This window comes from Homo sapiens, chromosome 19 (genome assembly GCF_000001405.40).
Source record: "Homo sapiens chromosome 19, GRCh38.p14 Primary Assembly".
Classification (NCBI taxonomy): Eukaryota; Metazoa; Chordata; class Mammalia; order Primates; family Hominidae; genus Homo; species Homo sapiens.
The window spans coordinates 23,314,655-23,339,786 of NC_000019.10; the positions used below are offsets into that span (position 1 = coordinate 23,314,655).

General features: G+C 41.5%; 1 protein-coding gene and 1 long non-coding RNA gene across 7 annotated transcripts in view, besides 1 other annotated feature; one reads left to right on the forward strand and one right to left on the reverse strand.

The window, feature by feature from the left end:
* ZNF91 (zinc finger protein 91) overlaps positions 1 to 25,132 on the reverse strand; it is a 90,468-nt gene that overhangs the window by 9,651 nt on the left and 55,685 nt on the right. For 2 of the 6 annotated variants that reach the window (XR_007066982.1, XR_007066978.1), the window contains one exon: positions 3,387 to 24,400. The exons of 1 other annotated variant lie outside the window; for it this stretch is intronic. The gene's annotated coding sequence lies outside the window, so the exon portion shown is untranslated. The remainder of the gene's footprint in view (positions 1 to 3,386; positions 24,401 to 25,132) is intronic. 3 more of the 6 variants (XR_007066980.1, XR_007066979.1, XR_007066981.1) reach the window with 2 other exon arrangements.
* Positions 1,419 to 3,860, forward strand: LOC107985285 (uncharacterized). The gene is made up of 3 exons (XR_002958408.2): positions 1,419 to 1,503; positions 1,969 to 2,081; positions 3,772 to 3,860. It is a non-coding gene; the product is annotated as an uncharacterized LOC107985285 (long non-coding RNA).
* Positions 8,269 to 9,062: an enhancer, noted in NCBI's record as "H3K27ac hESC enhancer chr19:23505725-23506518 (GRCh37/hg19 assembly coordinates)". NCBI's record gives its function as "activates a minimal SCP1, AML or CMV promoter by ChIP-STARR-seq in naive H9 embryonic stem cells {active_cell/tissue: H9 hESC(naive)}" and the evidence as "EXISTENCE:reporter gene assay evidence [ECO:0000049][PMID:30033119]".

The window sequence follows — 25,132 nt, forward strand, 5'->3', positions numbered from 1 at the left end:
CCTGAGGCTTACCCACAGAAGGCATGTTTACATATTTTTGGAACCCTCCCCAGATGACGTAACTCTTCTTCCTGGGCTCTTTTTTCAGGGTGTATTGTGCCATATTTTTGGGTCCAGCAGCAAGGATTACCTCTACTGCTTGGGCTTTGCCCTAAAAGAGATTGCAATTTATTGCTGGGCACAGCACCTAGGTGATGTGACTGTCCTCTCCTTTCTGGGCTCTGCATATATTCTGTATTGCAAAATATGCAGCACCTATGTGGTGTGACTCTTCTCTCATGTTTGAACTCTTTTCACTGGAGTGATTGTGACATATACGTCAGCCCACCTATTAGGTTATGCAACTTCCCTCTTCATTCTGATCTTTACCCACACAGAAAATTGTGACATATTTCTAGGCCTCTCACCTAGATGATGTTATCGTTTTACATGGGCCCTCCTCTCAGGGGTCAGGTATTGCTGGACCTAAAGCAGGTGGTGTAACTCTCTTTGACTGCTTAGCCTTTGTTCAAGGAAAAATTGTAATGTTTCAATGGATTCAAGACCTAAATGGTGTGACTATCATCTCTTGCCTGAGGTATTGTGACATATGGCTGGGTCCAACACCTAGGTGATGTGACTCTCTTGCATGGGCCCTGCCAACAGAAGGCATTATGACATATCTCTGGGCACACCAATTATTTGATGTGACTCTGCTGTTTTACCTGGACTCTGCCCATAGAAGAGATAGTGACGTATCTCTGGGCCAAGCAGCTAGGTGTTGTGACTCTTCTCTTTTGCTTGTGTCAGGCCCACAGAAGGGATAATGAATTACCACTAGGCCCAGCACACAAGCAATGTCATTCCTCTGCCTGGTTATTGTCCACAAGGGCCACTGCAACATATCTTTGGGCCCATGACCTGACCTAGGTGATGTGATTCTCGTTTTCTTTCTTGGACCTGTCCACAGTGGAAATTGTGACATATTGCCTGGTGCAGCACCTACATAATATTACTCTCCACTTTTGTCTGAGCCCTGCCCATGGGTGTGATTGTGGCAGATAAGTGAGCACTGACTCTATGTTATATGAGGCCTCTCTTTTTTTCTAGCCCTACCTACCAGAGACATTGCTACATATTTCTTGTCCCCTCACCAAGGTCATGTGACACTTCTGTCTAGGCCTTTCTCTCAGGAAGTATTGTAGGAAATTTTTGTACCCAGAACCTAAGTAATGTGACTCTTCTCTACTTCTTGGGCTCTGCTCAAGGAGGCATTGTGTGTATCCCTGGATGCAGCACCTAGGGGATGTTACTCTCCTCTCCTGCCTTTGCCCAACATACATTGTGTATTGTAATAAATGGCTGGACTCAACAAGTAGGTGATGCGACTCTTCTGCATGAGCCCTGAAGACAGGGGTATTATATGATACAATTTATTCATCACCTAGGAGATGTGACACATTTTTGTTGCCTGGGACCTGCCAAATAAGAAGATTGTGACATATCACTTGACCCAGCATCTAGGTGAGGTGATTTTTTTTTTTTTTTTGCCTGGTCCCCACATGTTTTGGGTTTTGTGACATATTGCTGGGCCCAATACCTAGAAAATGGAAGGCTCCGCCTGGGGCCTGTCCACAGTGGATCTGGTGACATATCTCTGCATTAATCACCTAAGAGATGTGGCTGTCTTCTTCTCCCTGAACCCTGCTTACAGGGAAGATTGTGACATATTGCTGGCATCAGCAAACAGACGATGTGTCTCTCGTAATTGGGCCTTGCCCACAGAAAGCATTTTGACATATTGCTGGGCTTATTACTGAGGTGAGGTGACTCTGCAGCCTGCACCCTGCAGGGGTTGTAACGTATTCCTGGCTGAGTACCCAGGTGATGTGACTCTTCTGCCTGGTCCCTTGTGTCAGGGAAGATTGTGACATATTCCTGGCCCAGAATACAGGTGATGTGACTCTCCTGTTTGCTCCCTACCCACAGGTAAGACTGTGACATATATCTTGGTCCAACTAACAGTTGCAATAACGACTCTCATGCCACACATCAGCCAATAGAAAGGATACTGTCAGTTTTAGCTGGGATTAGAGAAAAGGGTAAGATCCCATGTCTCCTCTTTGTATGAAGGTTATAGAAAATTACCACTTTCTCATACATGGTGTAAATCCCTAGTGTGGAACAGAATGCCATCACAGAGCCCAGCATCCAAATGAGATTGGGTTTCTCATATTCTTACACTACCATCCATTGGGATTTTCACCCTTACACGTGGACAGAGCCCACAGGTGAGGTCCTGAATCTCACAGGTCGACACAGACCACAGCTGGAATTGTTTCCGTCAACACAGACCACAGCTGGAATTGTTTCCGTCATATGCTACAGTTGGGATGGTGACTCATTTCTTTTCTTTTCTTTTTTTTTTTTGAGGCGGAGTCTCGCTCTGTCGCCCAGGCTGGAGTGCAGTGGCGCGATCTTGGCTCACTGCAAGCTCCGCCTCCCGGGTTCATGCCATTCTCCTGCCTCAGCCTCCCATGTAGCTGGGACTACAGGCACCCGCCACCATGCCTGGCTAACTATTTTTTGTATTTTTAGTAGAGACGGGGTTTCACCGTCTTAGCTAGGATGGTCTCGATCTCCTGACCTCATGATCTGCCCGCCTCGGCCTCCCAAAGTGCTGAGATTACAGGTGTGAGCCACCGCGCCCGGCCAGGTGACTCATTTCTAAACCTAGTTCATAGGTAGGTGAGGATGCTCCTATTTGGACCTAGCCAATTGGAGAGAAGTTGACCCAGACAAGAGCTTAGGGTAAAAATTATAAACATGGGTCCACACCAGCAGGGAGATCTCAGAGCATATTGAGACTCTCATGCATAAAGCCCTCTGGTGCTACAATGAGTTTCCTGACAAGGCACAGCACAGGTGAGATTTTGACTCTTGTATGCACATCCAGTTGACAATAAAGATTGTCATACTGCCACGTGAACACGGCCAACTTTTGAGGTTCTGAACGTCACATTTGGAGGCAGTCGAAACTTGAAAAAGTGACTCTTATATGTGGATCCAGTCCACAGGTAGGCTGGTGACTCTCCGTCCAAGATTCAGCACACCTGTGAGGCTGTGACTCTACTAAGGAGGCATAGTGCACAGAAGAAAGCGAGGTTCCCACGCACAGACCTAGTCCACCATTAAGATTGTGACTCATGTATTTAGACCCAACATAGAGGAGATGTTGACTCCCATACTTAGAATTGGGTCATGTGCAAGAATTTTAATTTTATCCCTATATCTTTCTGCATGTGAGATTGTGTGACATACACCTCTGTCCAGCAACTAAGTGATTTGACCCTTCTGCCTGAGCCCATCCCACAGATGGAATTTTGACATCTTGCTAAACCCAGTACCTTCATGATGGGACTCTAGTCCACTGCCTTGGCACCGCCCACAGACAGCACTGTGACATATCACTGTCACTAGGCCTTATATTCAGTTAATATGAGTCTACCCTTCTGTTTTGTCACTGTGCACAGAAGGCATTGTGACACCCAAGTTATGTGATTCTCCTGTCTGTACCCTGCCCACATGGCCCATTGTGATATATTACTGGGTCCAAAACTCAGATGATATAACTCTCCTGCCTGGTCCCTGCCTACAGGAGGCATTGTGACATCTCTGCATCCATTACCTAGGTGATGTGACTCACTTCTGCCTGATCTCTGCTCACAGGGGATATTGTGACTCATCACTGGGCCCAGCATTGAGTTGATGTGACTCTTCTATTCTTTTTAGGTTCTGCCTGCAGGAAAGGTTGTGATGTGTCTCTGGACCCAACGGTAAGGTGATGTTACACTTTTGCCTTGGTTCTGACCTCAGAAAGCTTTCTGACATATTGCTGGGCTCAGCACCAAGATGATGTGAGTCTCTTGCCTGGACCCTGCCCACAGGGGGCATTGTGACATATCTCTAAGTTCATGAACTATTTGATGTGACTCTTCTTGCTTACTTGGTCTTTGCCATTAGAAGAGATTATCACGTCTCTGATTCCAGTACCTAGGTGTTGTGACTCTCCTTGTTTGCCTGCGCTATGCCCACAGAAGGTAGAGTGAATTATCCCTAAGCCCAACACACAGGTGATGTGATTCTACTGCCTGGTCATTGCCCACAGGGGTCACTGCAATGTATCTCTGGGCCCATTACCTAGATGGTGTAATTCTCCTTATTTTTCTGCTTCTGTCCCCAGTAGGGATGGTGACATATTCCTTCACCCAACATTTATGTGATGTGATTCTCCTCTCATGTCTGGACTCTGATCACTGTTGTAATTTTGACATAGGGCTGGGCTCATCTGTCTAGGTTATGTGACAGGTTATGTGACTCTCTTCTTTCTTCCTAAGCCCTACCTACAGGGAGCATGGGTACATAGCTCTGGGCCCCTCACCTAAATGATGCAATCCTCATTCTTGGGCCCTTCACTCAGTGAGTACTGTGACATATTGATGGACTCAGCACCTAGGTGAGGTAACTCTCTTCTACTTCTTGGGCTCTGACCAAGGAGGTATTGTGACGTATCGCTGAGCCCAGCACATAGGTAATGTTACTCTTTTCTCCTGCCTGAGCTCAGCATAAATTGTGTATTGTGACATATGGCCTATCTTAACAACTATGTGGTGCAACTCTTCTGCATGAGCCCTGCCCATAGGGGTATTATGCCATACCTTTTTGTTTATCACCTGGGTGATGTGACACATTTATTTTTCTGCCTGGGCTCTGCTAAAGAGGGTTATTATAACATATCTTTTGGCCCAGCACCTATGTGATGTGACTGTCCTTTCTCCCAGGCCCCAAATATTTGGTGTATTGTGAAATAACACTGGGTCCAACACCTAGAAAATAAGAGGCTCCTGCCTGGGCCCTGCCCAGTGGGCCTTGTGACATATATCTGCATACACTACCTAGGACATGTGACTCTTCTTTTCTGCCTGCACCCTCCTAACAGAAAAGATTATGACACATCACTGGACCCCGCGACAAGGTGGTGAGGCTCTTTTGACTGAGTCTTGAATACGTAGATCATTGTGACATATTGCTGAGCCCTCACAGAAGATTGTGACATATATCTGGCCCCAAACCAAGGTAATGTTACTCTCCTGCTTACTCCCAATCCATGAGTGATTGTGACATATATCTTGGCCCAGCTCACAGGTGATGATGACTCTCATACCTTGAACTAGCCAATGAGAGAGATACTGTCTCTTATAGCAAGGCTCAGGGAAAAAGGTAAGATCCTGGGTGTCCTCTTTGTACAAAGGTCACAGAGGTTTACCACTCTCTTGCATGTTGTATAAAGCCCACAAGTGGTACAGAGAGTGTCATCACAGGTCCAAGGACACAAGAAATACTGTATTTCTGGTATGCACACCCTGCCAATCCTTAAAATAGTCATCCTCACACATGGACACAACCCACTGGTGAGATCCTGAATCTCACACGTAGACACAGTCTACAGATGGAATTGTGTCAGTCATATGTGAACATCTGGACACTTATGGGATAGTGACCCATTTCTAAACCCAGCTCATAGGCACATGAGTACTCTTCTATTTAGACACAGCCAATTGGGGAGGTGTTGACTCTCATACCTGAGCTTAGACTGACACGTACAATCATGGGCTCATATCAGCATGAAGGTCTTAATGCAGATTGCAATTCTCATGCATATCATATTGTATTAGTTCATTTTCACACTGCTATAAAGAACTGCCCAAGACCAGGTAATTTAGGTAGAAAAGGGATTTAATTGACTCACAGTTCCACATAGCTGGGGAGACCTCAGGAAATTTATAATCATGGCAGAAGGAGAATCAGGAACCTTCTTCACAAGGTGGCAGGAGGGAGAAAGTGAATAAAGAAGGAACTTCCAACACTTATAAAACCATCAGATCTCTGAGAACTCACTCACTATCACAAAAACAGTATGGGGGAAACTGTCCCATGATCCAATGACCTGCCTGCTTTGACACATGGAGATTACAATTGTAGATGAGATTTGGGTGAGGACATAGAGCCAAACCATGTATCTCATAAATTCTTTGGGTGGTACAGAGAGTGTACTAACAGAGCCCAGCTCAAAGGTGAGATTGTAATACTAGTAAGCAGACACAGTCAAGAGTAAAGATTGTTGTCCTCTCACATGAGCATGGCCCACTGTTGAGGATTTGAATCTTATATCTAGAGGCAGTCAAAAGTTGCAATGTTGACTCTCATACATGGATTTTTGTTATGCATGGATTTGTTGACCTTCAAACCATAATTTAGCACACGTGTCAGGCTGCGACTTATCTAAGGGGACACAATGCCCAGAAAACATTGAGAAGCTGCTGCACAGATCCAGTTCACAGTTGAGATTGTGACTCATGTACTTCACACAACATACAAGACATGTTGACTCTCATACCTAGAACCAGAACATGTGAGGGATTGATAATCTCATCTGTGGATTTTTTGAAGGTGTGATTGTGACATACGCCTCAGCCAAACACCTGATTTGACTCTCCTGCCTGGGCTTCGTTCACAAGTAGAATGGTGATATACTGCTGGACCCAGAACCTAGGCGAGATGACTCTATTCTCAAGCCTTGGTGCCTCTTACAGGAGGCATTGTGGCATATCGCTGGGACTTGCACTCAGGTGACGTAAGTTTTCTCTCCTACCTTGGTGCTGCACAGAAGGGACATTGTGACACATCACTCATTCTAACACTTAGGCGATGTGACTCTTCTGCCTGGGCCCAGCCTAAAAAGGGGATTGTGATATCTCCCTGCACTCCTCACCCAGGTAATGTACTCTCATCTCTTGCTTGGAGGGATGGTGACATATCCCTGGGCTCAGCACCTAGCTCATGTGACACTTCTCTTCTTCCTAGGTTCTGCCCACAGGGGAGATTGTTACATATATCCTGGGCCCAGCTCCAAGATGTTACTCATTTGCCTTGGCCCTGTCTTCAGAAGGTATTGTGACCTATTGCTGGGCCCAGGACCAAGGTGATGTGACTTTCTTGCCTTGACTCTGTCAAAAAGGGGGCATCTGTGGGTCCATAAATATTTGATGTATCTTTCTTTTCTTACCAGGGTCTTGCTTATAGAAGAGATTGTTACATATCTCTGTTCCCAGCATCTAAGTGATGTAACTCTCCTCACCCGCCTGGGCCACGTCCATAGATGAAATAGTGGCTTATCCCTGGGCCCAGAACACAGGCAATCTGATTTATTTCTCCTCATCTCTTTCTACAGGGGGCATTGAGAAGTATCTCTTAGCCCATCAACTATTTGATGTGTATCTCTTCTCTTACCTGGGCTTTGCCCATAGGGGATGTTGTAACATATGGCCCAGCATGTAGGAGATGACACTCTCCTCTGATTGTTACATATTGCTTTGCTCACCACCTACTTGATGTGACTCTCCTCTCATGCATCGTCCCTGCCCCTTGGGGGTGATTGTGACATATAGCTGGCTGTAGCCCCTAGGTTACGTAACTTTCCTCTTCTTCCTGAGCCCTACCCACAGAAGGCATTGTGCCATATCTCTGGGGCTCTCAAACCTAGGTGATGTGGCGCTCCTGCTTTGGTCTTCCTCTCAGAAAGTATTGTGATGTATTGCTGGACCTAGAACCTAGGTGATATGGCTCTCCTCTACTGTTTGGTCTCTGACCAAAAAGGGATTGTGATGTATCACTAGGCCCAGCACCTAACTGTTGTGGCTCTCTACTTTCTCCTAGGCACTGCATACATTGCCTATGGTGACATATGTCTGGATCCAAAACCAAAACAATGCAACTGTTTTGCATTGGCAACGTCCACAGGTGTATTACCACATATCTTTTCCTTTAGCTCTGAAATTGAGCTCTGAAATAATCTGGATTTTTTATCTGTGTGTCTCTCCTGTTGAGTTTGAACTTTAATCCAAAAGCCATGAAAAGAGTCATAATTACTGTCACAAAGTGATAACTTTTTTCTCCTCCTCCTCCTTTTTCCTCCTTTCCATCTCCTCCATTCCTTTTCGTCTTCTCCTCCTCACTTTTCTCCTCCTCTCCTCATCTCTTCTTCCTCCCCATTCATGTTCTCCTGCTCCTTTTTCTTTCTCCCCTCTTCTTCCTCACCTCCTCCTCCATTTCTCCCCCACCTCCTCCTCCACTTCTCCCCCACCTCCTCCTCCACTTCTCCCCCACCTCCTCCTCCACTTCTCCCCCACCTCCTCCTCCACTTCTCCCCTTTCTTCCTCCTCCTCTCCTTTTCTTCCTCTCATCTTTCTTCCCTTCCTCCTCCTCTCCTTTTTACTCCCCTCCACCACCTCTCCTCTTCCATCTCTCCTCCTCCTTTTCCTCTTTTTCTCCTCGTCCTTTCTCCTTTTTGTTTCCTCCTCCTTTCCTCATCCTCCCGTTTTTTTCTTTTCTTCCTCCTCCCCTCCCCTTGTCTCCTTTTCCTCTCCTCCTTTTCAGTTCTTCCTCCTTTTCCTTCGCCTCTCCTCCTCTCCACCTTTTTCTCTTCCTCCTTCTCCTATCCACATTCTCCTCTTCCTCTTACTTTTCCTTTCTCTCCTTCTTCTCCTCTCCTTTCTCCTCTCCTCCTGTTCCTTTTCTTCTTTCTTCTCTCCTCCTCCCCTCCTTCTCTTCCTCATCTTCCTTTTCTCCATCTTCTCCTCGTCCTCCTCCTCCTCTCCCCCTCCTTTCCTCCTCTTCCCTTCCTCTTCCTCCTACTCTCTTCCCCCTCCTTTTCTTTGTTCCTACTTTCCTCCTTCTCCCCATTCTTTTCCTTTTTTCTCCTCTACTTCTCTGTCCTCTTCTCCTCCGTCTTCTTCCTATCATCCTCCTTTTCCTTTCTTCTCCTCTACTCTTCTCCTCCTTTTCCTTTTTCTCTCCTCTTCCTTTTTCCTTTTCCTCTTCTCTTCCTCCCATCCTCCTTTTCCTTCTTTTCCTCCTCCTTTTCTCTTCTCCTTTCTCCTCCTCCTTCTCTTCTCCTCTCCTCCTCCTTTCCTCTTCTCTCCTCCTCCTCTACTTCTCCTTCTTTATCCTCTCCTCCTTCTTTTCTTCTACGCCTTCTCCTCATTCTCCTCTCCTCTTTTTCTCATTCTTTTCGTCTCCTCCTTCTCTTTCTTCTTCCTCCTTCTCCTCTTTTTCTACTCCTCCTACTTTTCCTTTTTCTTTTCTCCCATCCTTTTCCTCCTCCTATTCTTCTCCTCTTCGTTTCCTATTTTTTCTCCTCCTCTCCTCTTTCTCCACTCCTTTCTTTTCTCCTCCTCCTTCTCTTCTCCTTTCCTCCTCCTCTCCTTCACCTCTTCATCTCCTCCTCCTTCTTCTGCTCCCGATTCTCCTCCTCTCCTTTCTCTTCGTCTTCTCCTCTTCCTTGTCCCCTCCTCCTCCTTGTCCATCTCCTCTACTCCTCCTTCTCCTCCTCCTCCTTCTCTTCCTTTCCTCCTTTCCTCTTTTTCTCATCCTCTCCTCCTCCTCTCGTCCTCTTCTCTTTTCCTCATTCTTTTCTTCTTCTCCTCCTTTTTTCTCCCTACTTCCTCCTAGCTTCCCTTTTCTCCTCTCCTCTCCTGGTCCTGTTGTCCCCCTCTCCTTTTTTTCTCCACTTCCTCTCTTCTTACTATCTTCTTCTCATTTTCTCTTCTAGTTCTTCTCTTTCCTCCTCCTTTTCTTCTCTTCTCCTCCTCCTCTTTCTTCACTCCTCCACTCCTACTCCTTCTCTTACTGTGCCACTGGCCATGCCAAACAGCACCCAGCACAAGTAGTGGCACCCTCTTCAGCGCTGCGCTAGAAAGAACTGATGTGCATTTATATTAGCTTTTGGAGGATAGTACTAATCCGGCCTAACTCAGGCGGCCAAGTATATATATATATATACGTATATACATATGTATGTATATACGTATGTATACATATATATATACACATATATATTTATAGATATATTCTATGAGAAATAATCTTGCTCTGTCACCTAGGCTGCAGTGCAGTGGCACAAGATTATGACTCACTGTAGCCTCAAGAGATCCTCTCACCTCACCCTCCCGAGTAGCTGGGACTACAGGCGTGGCCCATCACACCTGACTAAATTCTTTTTTAGTGACGGGGTCTCAACACGTTGCCTAGTCTGGTCTGAAACTTCTGGGCGCAAGCTCTCTAATGTTTTTGCATTCATAGTCTCCCTTATTTTAATTTCTCAAGTTTTTGCAAAATTGTTACATAACTATCCGCCCTTTTCATAGAGCGCTGTTTCTTGAGCCAGGTCTTCTGTCCATGCATGTCCTCTTGAGAGAGTGGATGTCAGCCAGCTACCCTGGCTGAGAGGGATGGGGATAATACAGGGATGCAATAAAGGAGACAGTGATAATTTATATGATCTGGGACCCCAGGCCTCACACCAGAACTGTCTAGTATACTTTTAGCAAACAAGTGCCACTGATCTGAGCCTTGTTCTGCCCTTCCACTTTCCACTTTATTACACAAGCAGGAGATAGGCAAGGGAGAAGGCAGGATGATGAGGAGACTAAATTCCAGAAAAGAAAGGGCTGCGTGCAGTAAGCAGACAGTTGCCCCCAAAGTGGTCTGGGCTCCCACTTACCTTAGAGACATGTGCAACACTTGTGAATAGTTGTTTTACAATTCTTAAATCAGTGGACAGACTGTAAGCATCCCATTGGTGTCAGTTGCCAGGTGCCCAATGCCTGTTCTCTGCAGCAACCTTTGTGGTCCCATACCTGGGCGTGAGTTCTGTTCCTGCAGAGTGCCCTGTGCATTCTGGTGCTTTTGTGCCCTCTCCTCTAACCTATAAACTGACAACTCTAACTCTATATTTTCACTTACAATTTTTCTGAAGCAGTGATCTTTTGTCATCTTGATCACACTACAAGTCGCTCACCCTGCAAGTACTTGTAAAAATGAAAGTAATCTCCATTCCTTCTGGAAGGTGATTGCCATGTACACAACCTACTAGGCCAGGAACATTACTGATGGCTGTCCTGATGCATGTCTCTCTCACCCCCATGTCCAATCAGTCACCAGGCTCTCCCCAAAACCATGCTCCGGTCACTGACTTTGGCTGTTTAATCACTTCTGACCTAAGGTCCTCATTGAGTCATAAGTACCTCTTGAGTTAATTTTCTGCCTCCAGTTTCTCTCTACTGCTGTTTATCTTCCACCCTGCTGCCAGAGTCATCATCCTCAAAAATGAAAGCTGCTCTCATTGTTTGCCTGCCTAATAACATCTCTTCCCTCCCTGTTGTCTACAAAAAGAAAAATCCAAACTCCTTCACTTGTTTTACAAAGACCCTCATCTGCTTCCAAACCAAATTGCTAGTCTTGGCTCTTGTCTCTGTCTTCCACATCACTGCCACACTGAATAATTCTTTACTGCCTCTGTTGTTGCACGGGTTGTTCTTTTTGTTTTGTCTCCATCCCCTTCCCCCAGCAAAGAATATTTACTCTTTACTCTTCTGTTGAGACCCATCTCAAATACTACCTTTTCTAGGGAAAATTAGGCCTTCTGTTCCTAATAACTTTTACCCCCATCTATCAAGTCTGTCTGCTGTAATTTATCTGTTAACATGTTTCTCCCACCTCAAGAATATTTTTTCCATCTTCTGTACCTAGCACAATTGCATGGTTGGTGCTCACTGACTACTACATGTTGATTTATTTATTTTACTTGTTTGAGAGGTGGAGTCTTGCTCTGTTATCCAGGCTGGTGTGCAGTGATACAATCTTGGCTCACTGCAGGCTCTGCCTCCCGGTTTCAAGCAATTCTCCTGCCTCAGCCTCCCAAGTAGCTCCGATTACAGGCACCCACCACCACGTCCAGCTAATTTTTGTATTTTCAGTAGAGACAGGTTTCACCACATTGGTCAGGCTGGTTTTGAACTCCTGACCTCAGGTGAGCCGCCTGCCTTGGCCTGGCAAAATGCTGGGATTACAGGCATAAGACACCATGCCTGGACTTGCATGCTGATTTCCGATATAAAAATGAAATTTTTGAAGATTTTGGAGAATACCATCATGTAAATTGGAAGCTAAGGCCTAACTATTACTACACATTCAGCAAAGGAAGTGGGTATAAACTAACAACTTTGGCACATCTGTCATGCAGTAGTTTGCTGCAAGGTGGAAAAGATTTTGGTGCTTTGGTGGGAAATACTGTTGAATTACAGAAATTCTAAAACAAAAGCTGGCTCAGCTTAAAGAGAAAAGAAAATGCTTGCTAATGCCTGCTTGCACTAAAAGCTGTCACACTGTGGCCTTTAATAATTCTAAACATTTTTAATGGATTTTGGTTTGAACTTCAAATTCAATAGGAAAAATAAATGCACAGATAAAGGACCCAGATCATTTCAGAGCTCCAATGTGTGAACCCGTTTTCTCTACTTATTTAGAGTTTTGTTTCACTAGTGGCATGAGTTAATAGGAGTGTTGCTTTGTACATAAATTCTCTTTATTCCATAATTCTTGGTTTTAAAAATTGAATGCAATACCAGAAACCTACAGGGTATAAATCTTGCTTGATGTGTGTGCAATGTACATACTTGATAATAATTGATTATATATCATATTTATAAAAAGAATCATGTGTACTGTTTTAGGAGAACATACTTTACCCTGATACTTTATTGTTAAAAACAACAAAGCATTGTTCTAACTACTAAAAATCAAAAATTTAACTTTCTTTTAAAAGAGGTACATGTATCTTCAGAAATAAAAGGGATACCCAGAAGATAAGGTAGGTGTTCTGAAACACGAGGTGAAACATTTGAATGGGTTTTTTTTGTCAAACAATAAATTTTTAACAAAGAAAAAGTTTGCATTATGGGTGAAGTATCCTTAGTATCTTTATACAAGATGAAATCCTGATTGATTAAAGATACGTTACTAACTTTAAATGTCTTTTAATAAGTGCTTACATGCTAACTAGTATTTAGACTCATACCTGGCAGATACATTTAGACATAAGATTCTAACTTAGTTTCATTTCTGAGGAGGCTTGTGTATTTTCCTCTGTGATACAGAAAATAGATTTTTTTAAGCCATTTTATCTTTTACTTTAGAGTTTTAATTGTTTGTTAAGTGGTTTATAATGGTTTAATTAACAACCCGAACAGGTTTTCTGTGATTTGGTTGGTTAAATCTATATGTATTTGGTTAAAATATTCTACGTCAAAGTTTTAAACCAAGAGTAACTTAAAGGAGTCTTAACTTGTGTTTCTCTGAATTTGATTTGTGTTTAAATTATGAAATTAAGTTTTCAAAGAACGATTTTTGTGTTCAAAAGCTTAAGGTTTCACAACTTAATTTTCCTAAGTACAATTTTTTTCTATCGGACTTAGCCTCCTTTTAGAAGACAGTTTTTTACTACCAAATTTACCATTCCCATTTTTTTTTTTACTTTTACAGATCTGTATTTAGTCCATAAATATCCAAATATCTGCTTGTGAAGGTTCTGTCTTTACCACCAAGCCTACCGGTATGGCAAAGACATACAGTTGCTAATCTCATTAAAGATAGATCACAATGAGAGAGACTCATCTAGCCATGAACAGGTCACTTCTATCAGTGTTAACTGCTCAAAGTTAAGTATGACAAGAAGCTATGAAGTAAAGTTTGGCCTTTGTGTATGGGAGAGGAATGGAGGATGCCAGGATGCAGGTCAAGGAAGGCATCCTGTGGAAGTAACATTTGAGCTAATATCTGAAGGATGTGTGATAGAAGGAAAAAGAATGCTTCAGAGAACAGCTGGTACAAAAGCCCTGAGGTTGAAAAGGTGGATGTGTCAGGGAAATGGGGGAAGTACAGTGTCTGGAAGAAGAAAAGACACTGAATGAGGTGAATGACAGGAATGATGAAGTAGATAGGGGCTAGAGCAGATTGTAAGAACTCTGGAAAGCTTTGAAAACTGTTGGGCCAAAAAGTAGTATGATGAAATTTGCATGCTAAGGACTATTTTTACCCAAGTAGTAAATAGACCAGGTAGAAGGAAATAATGATTGGCCTTCTGTTTGGAAGATCAGTTAGAAGGCTAGTTTATGAAAACTTTGAAAAGCAGTGATGGCCTGCAGCATCGTGACAGTAAAGATGGGAGCTCAAATGGATTTGATAAAGGTTTAAGAGGTAAGAGAGGCTTGCTGATTGGATGGTGTGGGGAAGGGATAGATAACTTCCTGATCTTGGATTTTATAGCTGGGTGGATGGTGGTGCCTCATTGAGACTGGAATGCTGGATTAAGCAATGTATATGAACAGGGCATGTTCCCTACCCTTTAAAGAGTTATGTATATGTTTTCCATGTTTTTAGCTATTTCTCCACTTGTAATGTGTTTTAGTTGGTTAAAAATTATGTACCTGGCATGGATGACGCATTAAATGTACTTATGTAACTGATAAACCAATGTTACATTCTTGAAAATAAATTACATTCTATGAAAATAAATGGCTTTCTCCTATTCTTTTCCTTCTTTCAATTTTTTGATACTAAAATGCAAAGAAAAGATTTCTTGTAGATGACCTGAGCTTTTGAATGATTTTCAGATGAGATGTACACCTAAATGTTAAGAGTGTTGAAGTTTGTATTTGATTTAGTGATGCTTTATCTGTTTGACTTGGAAGCATAGGATTCATGAGAAGAGACTTCGGGTAGGAAGCAAGCTAGGACTCTCAGGATGGCTTAAGCCCATCAGAGCAGTTCTGATGCTAATTAGGAGCATCAGAACTCCTTTCAAGGCCTGATTTTTCAAGTCATTTCTTAATTGAAAGCCCATGAAGAACATAAGTGGTCTTGTGATATGCTTAATGTCTTAGAGATGTATCAATATTTTGCTTCAGCAGTAATCTGTGAAAATAAAGTTTATGTAGTAAACGGAAGTTGCTGTTTATCTACTGGATGCTAAGATCTTCACTAGCTCTGTCAGTGCCAAAGAAAATGATTCATTTTACCCCTTTCACAAAGAGTGAAACTTATTTCCACAGAGTATTTGTCTAGCCAGCATTTAAATACTTCTGGTGATGACAGACTTTCTACCTACCCCTAAGCAGTCCTTGAGATTGTACTATATTTTTTAATGGCAAACAAAGTACTGTGTATTTTAATGGCAAACAAAATAGTGATGTTGTCTGCTGAGTTGGTACATGCTAGAAGCTGGAGTGCAGGCAGGCTGTCCTGTGCTTTATGCAACTCAGGGAGACAGCATGCAATCTGACCCCCAGAGAGTTCCATCAAGGCATGCCTCAACTACTCAGCGAGTGACCATCTTCTACCTTAAGATTTCTGCTCCTGAGAAAAAATATCTGTCTCACTTGGCTGCACAGCCATCCTCTTCCGTGTGAATTAGGCCACCATCTTCTAAGACCATCTCACATAAAAGTTTTACTGGGACTCGCGGCCAGGCATGGTGGCTCATGCCTGTAATCCCAGCACTTCTGGAGGCTGAGGCGGATCACCTGATGTCAGGAGTTCGAGACCAGCTTTGTCAACATGGTGAAAGCTCGCCTCTACTAAATATATAAAAATCAGCCGGGTGTTGGGGCGGGCGCCTGTAATCCCAGCTACTCGGGAGGCCGAGGTGGGAGAATCACTGGAACCTGGGAGGTGGAGGTTGCAGTGAGCCGAGATTGTGCCACTGCACTCCAGCCTTGGCAGCAGAGCCAGACTTCGTCTCAAAAGAAAAAAAAAAAAAGAAAGAAAGTCTTCTAATACCATCTCACATGAAAGTCTTATTGGGATGCTCATTTTGGGTAATGCTTGTCTCTGATGTCATCCACATGACTCACCAGAATCGGAGGTGAGCCCCACTGTGCTCCAAAGATGGTCCTCTGTTATGGTATTAATCCTGACAGATGTAACCTGAACATCCCTTTGGGCCCCTGGTAGCACTGATTTTCCCATTTTGGGGAGAATATGATTTTTCATCTCTTGCTTGAGCCCATGGATAATTCTGCATCACCACACCATAAATATCATTAGGATGGACACCATGCTTTATTCCATTTCTATATGGGATAAGAGAAACTGAATATAAAGGAATAATACTTTAAAAAGCCCTCCCTACTCCTCACTTTAAAAAATTGAAATAGCTTGGTGAAGGGATGCTGGGAAGAATACTTCTAAAGCTAAGCTTAAATATGGTTTTTGAAAAGTTAAATCTTAAGGTACTCTACAAATAACTCAGAGTTTTTGCCTCACTGTGACCCAAGCGTATGCATGCATTTAGAAGTCTAATTACAAGTTAGTCATAAATATATCTTACCAGATAATTACCATGTTGTGAATATCCAAAATTGGAATCAATAGTATGTTCAGAAACAATTTGTGGTGACAAGTATATATAAGGCAACTTTTAGATAAGCCACTCATAGCTACTTATTTTGGAGAGTGCTGGATAATGGTGACCATACATGCTGTCTGTTGGGTGATGTAAGTTTTCCTAAATATTTGTGTATTTGCACTGTTATAGTGCTGCTTCCTCAAGGCCCTGGTGTGTTACATTTTCTATGCTTTGGGGTATGGGCATGTCTTACATATGGCTGTCTTCTGTATATGTTAGACCTTCTATTGTGGTAAGACTAAGTGAATGAAAGTTGAATATATTTTCTGTGAAGTCCCTGAGGAAATTAATTAAGTTAATAAAGAAATACAAGTTTGAAATTTGAGTTTACTTCAGAGAAGTAATTTGAGTTTACTTCAGAGAAATTAAAAATTATATCTGGTAATACAGGCCATGCGATGTGTCTTAGGGTTGTCTGTAATATGCCTATTCTTTGCATGCCCAAAGCCAGTGTCATGTTGCTAAGAATGTGAGATCAGGATATATGCTGTAAAATTACTCTTTCTTCAGGAAAGCGGATGCTGTGCCTCAGAATGAGAGTGTGTGTGTATGTTTGGTCTTCTTGTGACAGTAAGTGCTGAAAACAGGGTAGTCACTCATCTTCTCCGTTTCTCATGGATTTGGCTTTTTTTAAGCAGCTCTAGATGTAGATGTGGTGAACATGGTGGTCTGTGTGTTCTGAAGCTTGCTGTGCGCCTTTGTTACTCTGTTCTGCACTGGAGAGTGGATAGTGTGTGGTCATGTGTTTGTTTTGTGTTATGCTAAGAGAAAGGGAGAAGTATCAGTGTATTGGAGAAGTGGAGTGGTTAACACTGGTCAAATTCTTATGTTTAGAGATTATTATTTATTTCATTATTATCTTTACAGTAAATGGAGTTTTGTAAGGGCTCATTTGCCCAGCTTGTCTCTAAGAAGTCTGATAGTAGCTAGGGCTGTCTCTGGTGTCTCTTCAGAAAATTAAATAAACAGAAATCCAGTCCTAACCAGAAACTATGACATGCTTCTATTACAAACAAATCTGTCTAGAGTACTTTTAAATAAGTTTAACCTACAATATTCAAGTTGCAGACAAACTTTGGTGAAAACCATTTCTTAGCCAGGTTTGTTTGTATTTGCATTAAATCATATAAACCAGAAGTTAAATCTTTCTGTTTCTCTTCTACCTGTGCTAGACCTATTATTAATCGATAGGAATCCAGTCTGTAAGTCAATAATCAAAAGTTGAACTTTAATTTTCACCCTTTGTTGGTTGTTAGCTTTTTTACATAGAAACACACTCACCATGATGGCAGTAAGAGCAGAAGTCATAAGATCTAACAATTACTGACCACTAGCTACCAGCATCCTAATTTTTTTTTTAACACATCATCTTTTTCATTCATTACATGACAGAGGGATGTAGATGTAATTATTATCCTCAGGATTCACGTGAGAAAACAGAGACCCAGGGAGGCAGCCAGCTATTAGAACTCAAACTGTTAAGTTTGTCTCCAGGGCTGTGCTTCTGACCCCTGCCGGACTACCTACCATAGAGACACGATTCGTTCACCAAACAAATACTAACTGAAAATCTCCTGTGTGCAGAGTTCTCCCTGTTAGGCACATCAAGCGAAAAGATGGGCACCCCAAGGAAAAAGTATAAGTGTGCCAGGACAGGGTCCTGATTTCCAGAAATAAATCACAGCTTACCTAGTCAACACCTCATTTTACCTAATATTTGACGACATAAGTGGGACCTTCCCTTCTGTGATGATCAGGAATGGAGATTGGTATTCTGTGGACTGAGGGGCTTGCATAGGTCGTGTTACTACATGAACTGACTGACTTGGATTTGTGTGCCCTTAAAGAGGGGAGGTTCAACAAGACACTAAAGCAGAATACTAGCAGGCTGAGACCCAGTGGGAAAGAAGAGTGAAACCCTGAACAAAGCCTGTCAAGGATCAAATTTTTACCATGTTCTCATTGCAAAGGATAATGTGTGAAAAAGAGGTGGTCTTTCACATGGTGGGAAATATTCCAGAAGTGAAAAAGGGTGGGCATGGACTCTGCGATTCTGCTGGTCCTCTGTGTGGTGGATCATGGGGGACTCTCTTATCTTTTGAAACCTTTTTTGTGGACACCCACTTTTAACCTCACTGGAAGTGCTGAGCCCTATTCAAGGACCCATATGAAACCTCCTTTTGAAGAGATTTCAAACTGTACACTCATAAGTGTTTGGGAAATTTAGTTTTGCTTTGGGTAGGCCCAACGCCTTGAGAACAGGTCTATTGGTTTGTTATAATAGGTTATTGTTACTTTACATATTATAGAAACTCAAGGTTTTGCCTCAGAATTTGCATTGGGGTGATCCTAAAAAGTTCATAACGTGATATGAGCCAAGTAAAGGCAACAATTGAATTGGCTTGACTACTCATCTAATCTAAAGATTTGTCCAAGCTCAACTGTGATAGCCTCTGGGAGGTATTATTTCTTTGTTGTTTTGCTTTTTAAGCAGGAGGAGCCACATGTACTGGAGGACAGTGAGAGGAAGACCTTCTGTGTTTTGAGTATGTTTGAGATGGGGTCACCAGTGTGCCTAGATTCTTTTATGAGGGTGCCTGAACAAGTTATGAAATTGGGAAATCTTGCATTGTGATAAGCACTTGAGGGTCTGTTTCCTGTTTCTTCCTATCTGTGGATAAGGACTATTTTGAAACTAGGAATAAATAGAGAAATGAAGTCATGCATGCTACCAGCTCAATTTTAACTGACTTGTCTTCTCTATTTACTGCTAGTATTATTATTATCATTGTTATATTTCTCATGACATTGGGAGAGTTTCAGCAAAGCAATAGTGGAAAGCAATGTGGATTAGCAGACCAGCATTCTGGCTCCTTTCTTTTGTCATCTGTTGAATATCACTTTCAGCAAGCTTGGATTGGGAACCATTTTTTGATGCCCACACCTGGTACCAGGCTGCGGAACTATAAAGATTGATATAATATGGTTCTAGTTCTAAAATTCACCAGTGACTCACAAACAGCAAGAACAAGTGGAGAACTGGCAAGTGAAAAGTTGCAGTGCAAAGAAAAGGTGATACCCTCAAATGTACATGTTTTCCATGTGTAGAGGAAGAGTGTGGGAAAGAAGAAATGTAAATTTAGGCAAAAAAGTAGTTTAAGTACAGGACTTGAAGTATTAAAATATAAGGCTTATTTGAGGACAGGGTAGGACAAGAAGTAGAGTGTGACAAGAGAATATAGTTTGGAAGTGTTGTGTAGAGTTGGCATGATGAGAGATACTGGCCTTAGGAAAATGGATGAGGGGCTCAGCTGTGTAGGCTGTTATGAGCCATCAAATGTTTTGGAGCAGGGCTGTAATGTGAGCAGCTCTGTGTTTCAGAGGGAACACTGCTAACGTTTTAGAAAGTTTAAGCTTGAAAAAAGACAATGTGTTCAGCAACGTGCAGTGCAAACTTGTAATTTGGTACCCTTTTTGATAGAATACATTTTCCCTTTTTAAAAAGAGACTTTTCAGCCCAGAATGTATTGGCTGCCTTCCTATACATGGTTAAATAATAATAGAAGGTGAGAAACATTTATTTTCCACAAATCAAATTCAATTAGACAATGTTTAAACTTCCCTAATTGTATTTACTAATTGGTACTTATTTAAACTCCTTAGAGAGTAGACAATTTTAGAAGGGACGGACTTCTTTTCTCTCAAAAACATTGAATATGAACACTAGGAGCTGAATGGAGATATATGTAAAATAATTTTGAACAAATGATTATTATAATGGGGTTACCAAAAGCTTATACAAATCAGTAAAAAGTTAAATAATTCAGTAGCAAAATAAGCAGAAGACCTTACTAGGTAATTCAAAAGTAGTACACTAAACATATATAAAACCAAGTTACCTAAATAGTTACTAAAATGCATATTAAAATAATGAGACGCCAGTTTTTCACATACCAAAAAAGAATTTTTTTAACTGGAATTTTTTAAACTTTTTATTTATTATTCTTTAAGTTCTAGGGTACATGTGCATAGCGTGGAGGTTTGTTATAGTCAGGAACCTCAGGCTTCAGGTCTGTTGGAGTTTGCTGGAGGTCCACTCCAGACTCTGTTTGCCTGGGTACCAGTAGAGGCTGCAGAGCAACAGATATTGCAGAACAGCAAATGTTGCTGCCTGATCCTTCCTCTGGAAGCTTCGTCTCAGAGGGGCACCCGGCTGTATGAGATGTCAGTTGGCCCCTACAGGGAGTTGTCTCCCAGTTAGGCTACTCGGGGGTCAGGGAGCCACTTGAAGAGGCAGTCTGTCTATTCTCAGATCTCAAACTCTGTGCTGGGAGAACCACTACTCTCTTCAAAGCTGTCAGACAGGGATGTTTAAGTCTGCAGAAGTTTCTGCTACCTTTTCTTCAGCTATGCCCTGCCCCCAGAGGCACAGTCTACAGAGGCAGGCAGGCCTCCTTGAGCTGCAGTGGGCTCCAACCAATTCAAACTTCCCGGCTGCTTTGTTTACCTAGTCAAGCCTCAGCGATGGTGGACGCCCCTCCCCCAACCTCGCTGCCACCTTGCAGTTTGATCTCGGACTGCTGTGCTAGCAGTGAGCAAGGCTCCATGGGCATGGGACCCTCCGTGCCAGGCACAGGATATAATCTCCTGGTGTGCCGTTTGCTAAGACCGTTGGAAAAGTGTAGCATTAGGGTGGGAGTGTCCCAATTTTCCAAGTACCATCTGTCACGGCTTCCCTTGCCTAGGAAAGGGAATTCCCCGACCCCTTGCGCTTTCTGGGTGAGGTGATGCCCTACCCTGCTTCAGCTCACACTCCATGGGCTGCACCCACTGTCTAACAAGTCACAGTGAGATGAACCCAGTACCTCAGTTGGAAATGCAGAAATCACCTGTCTTCTGCGTCACTCATGCTGGGAGCCGTAGACTGGAGCTGTTCCTATTCGGCCATCTTGGAACCCCGGAAAATACTTTTTAAAATAACATGTTCCATTAAACTCTTCATAAATGATAATTGTAGGGAAACAAGAGCTTTCTAACACTGTTACCGGAAGTACAATTTGATGTCATATTTGTATATGGCAGGTTTTACACTGTGCATCAGCAGCCTTTAAAATGTGCTACATTTCTTAATATAGTAATTTTAACTAATATATTAATTTTAACATAATGAAGTGGAATCACTTGTTTGGGGTGAATGCCTGAGGTTCATCATCTCATACCAAGGAAATCGAGTACATGGACACAGAAAAACTTGGTTTAGGAGCAGAGGTTTAATAGGCAAAAGAAAGAGAAAGGAGAATAGCTCTCTCTCCTGAGAAAGAGTGGGACTTTTAGCTTGCAGAGAAGTGCACTGGATTTTACAGACTGCCTTCAGGAGGCAGTGTCTGATTTACATAGGGGCCAAAGATTGGCTGGATCAGGTATGGATGTTTACACAGCTTAGGAGGAAGCTAGCTAATCTTCAATTATGCAAATGGAGCACTTGCCAGCACCATGTTGCCTGTTCGTTACTCTACACGTGGTTTACAAAGAAAAGGGAAGATGGAGCCACCATTTTGAACATGTGTCCTTTCCAGGTAGCTCCTTTTCCTATTAGCAGAGCTGCAGGCATTTATTCATGCAAGCTTCCAGCTCGCTTATCTATGTCTGCAGCTCAATCTTACAGGCTGCTCTTTGTTAAAAAGAAATAATTTGGGGGTTTTTATTAAAAGGAAAACTTTACCAAGGACTGTTTTTGCCCTCACTCACTATCTGCCTAAATTATTTATTTATTTATTCATTTTTGTTTTTGTTGAGATGGATTCTCGCTGTCGCCCAGGCTGGAGTGCAGTGGCGTGATCTCCGCCCACTGCAGGCTCCGCCCCCCAGGTTCATGCCGTTCTCCTGCTTTTAACTCCTGTATCAATAATAGTTAATGTCATGGGAAACATTTATAACGTATTTGTATGTATGAATAAGCAAGATAGCAAGTTTTAACTAGTGGTTGTGTTTAATTTATTTATACAAATGTGTTGGGTGCAAGTATAATTTAGTTACATGCATAGATTGCATAGTGGTGAAGTCAGGGCTTTTATGGTATCCATCACTCGAATAATGTACATTATAACTATTAAGTAATTTCTCACCATCTACCCCACCCTACCTTCTTACTCTTTCATGTCAGGTGTGCTGGCCCTCAATGACCAACACAACAAAGATAAATTTATTGTTTTCTGAGACTTAGACTTAGACTTAGAATTCAAAATCAACCTAAGAGAAAAGATGACCCCGAGCCAATAAAACATTTGTTTTATATATATATGTATTTATAAACACACACATACACAGACATGTATATATATGTGTGTGTGTATGTGTGTGTGTATATATATATATTTGTTTATACTGAAGAAACTCATACAGAGTCTTTCCCACTGCACAAACCCAAAAGTAAAGCCACATGGCCCTATGCAATAAACATTATGGTAATAACTTCAAAAAAAAAAAAAAACTTCCTCCAATGAATGTAAATTCGAAAATAAAATGAAACAACTATTTCTCCAGATGTGCAGAAATCAATATAAAGACACATAAAGACACAGGAAACACAGAAAAGCAAGGCTTATGACACTTTCAAAGGAACACAATAATTCTCCAGTACTCTAAGAAAAAAAAATTCATTGAAATGGCTTTAAAATACTTTAAAAAGACTTCAAAATATAGATTTTAAAGAAACTCAAAGAGAGGCAAGAGAAATCTGAAAACCAGTACAAAAATAAATAAATAAATTTAGAGTCCAAATGGGAAATGTTCCAAGGAGATAGATATCTTTTAATAGAAACTGAAACAAAAATTATGGAACTGAAGATTTATTGCAGGCAAAAGAAAATACATTCAAAGATTCAATAATAGACTGGAAGAAACATAAAAATAATTTTCAAACCTTTAAACAGGTCTTTTAAAATAATACACTCAGACAAAAATAAGGAGAAAAGAATAAAAAAGAATGAAGACTTTGTTTCCAACTACATGAAGTAACTAAACTTTAAAATTATCAGTGTTTCTGAGGAAGAAAAAACATCAAAAAGTTTAGAAAACCTATTTAAGAAAACAATTGATGAAAACTTTCCAACTCTAGCAATAGAATTAGACATACATACACAGGAAGCTCAGCAAACAAAATACAACAAAATATAAACAAAATATATTGCAAAACAGACATCATAATGGCACATGATAATCAGAATATCTAAAGTCAAAGTGAAGGAAGTAATTCTAAAATAAGCAAAAGAAAAGCATCTAGTAATTTATAAAGAAAACCACATTAGATTAAAAGCAGACTTCTCAGCAGAAACTTTACTGACCAGAAGAGAATGGGATGGCACTTTTAGAGTGTTGAAAAAAAAGAAAACTGCCAGCCAAAAATTTTATATCAAGCTAGAATAACCTTCACAAATGAAGAATATAAAGTCTTACCCTGACAAATAAATGCTGGGGAAACTAATTACCACTAGACTGGGCCTATGAAAGATGTTAAAAAAAATTCTAATATAAAAACAAGAGATTGATATTCACCATTATTAAAATATATAAAAGTATAAAACTAACAGGTCTTACAAAACAAAACAAAGTGAAATAAATCAAATCACAACATGACAGAATTTTATTAAACTACAAAGACAGATAAAAAAATAAGACAAGAAAATAATTAACATTATGATAGTAACAAAACCTTACATATTAATATTTACCTTGAATATAAATAAATTAAATCCTTCATTGAAATGTATAGATTTGGTTGGGTGCGGTGGCTCACGCCTGTAGTCCCAGCACTTTGGGAGGGTGAGGTGAGGGTATCACGAGGTCAAGAGATCAAGACCAGCCTGGTGAATATGATGAAACCCCGTCTCTTCTGAAAATACAAAAATTAGCTGAGCGTGGTGGTGTGTGCCTGTAGTCCCAGCTACTCAGGAGGCTGAGACAGGAGAATCACTTCAATAGGGGAGGCAGAGGTTGCAGTGAGCAGTGGGACGAGATCGCGCCACTGCACTCCAGCCTGGCGATGGAGCAAGACTCCGTCTCAAAAAAAAAAAAAAAGTATAGATTTATGAAATGAATGAGAAAAAATAACGCAAATCTATGTTGCCTACAAAAATCTCACCTTACTTGTAAGACACATATAGATTAAAGGCAAATGGGGGGGAATATATTAACACAAACAGAAACCAAAAGTAAATAGGAGTATCTATACTTACATCAAATAAAACAGACTTTAAATTAAAAAGCTGTAACAAAAAAGGATAAAGATCATCATCCAATAATAAAGAAATCATTTCAGCCAAAAGATATAACAATTCTAAATATATATGAACCCAACATCACAGCACCCTGATTTACAAAGAAATATTATTAAATCTATAGAACGAGATAGACAGTAATACAATAATAGTGGAGAAATTCAACATTCTACTCACAGCATTAGAGAGACCATTGAGATAGGAAATCTGGCAAATCAACAAAGTATCCCCCCAAATCAAAATTATACGAACTACCTACTTAGACCACAGTAGAATAAAACTACAAATCAGTATCAAGAGAAATTTCAGAAACTATAAATTTACAAAGAATTTAAATAACATACTCCTCAACAGTGACTATGTAAATGAAGTAATTATGATGGTTGACCAGGGGTGGTGGCTCCCACCTGTAATCCCAGCACTTTGGGAGGCTGAGACAGGTGGACCACCTGAGGTAAGAAGTTTAACACTAGCCTGGGCAACATGGCAAAACCCTGTCCCTACAAAAAAAAAT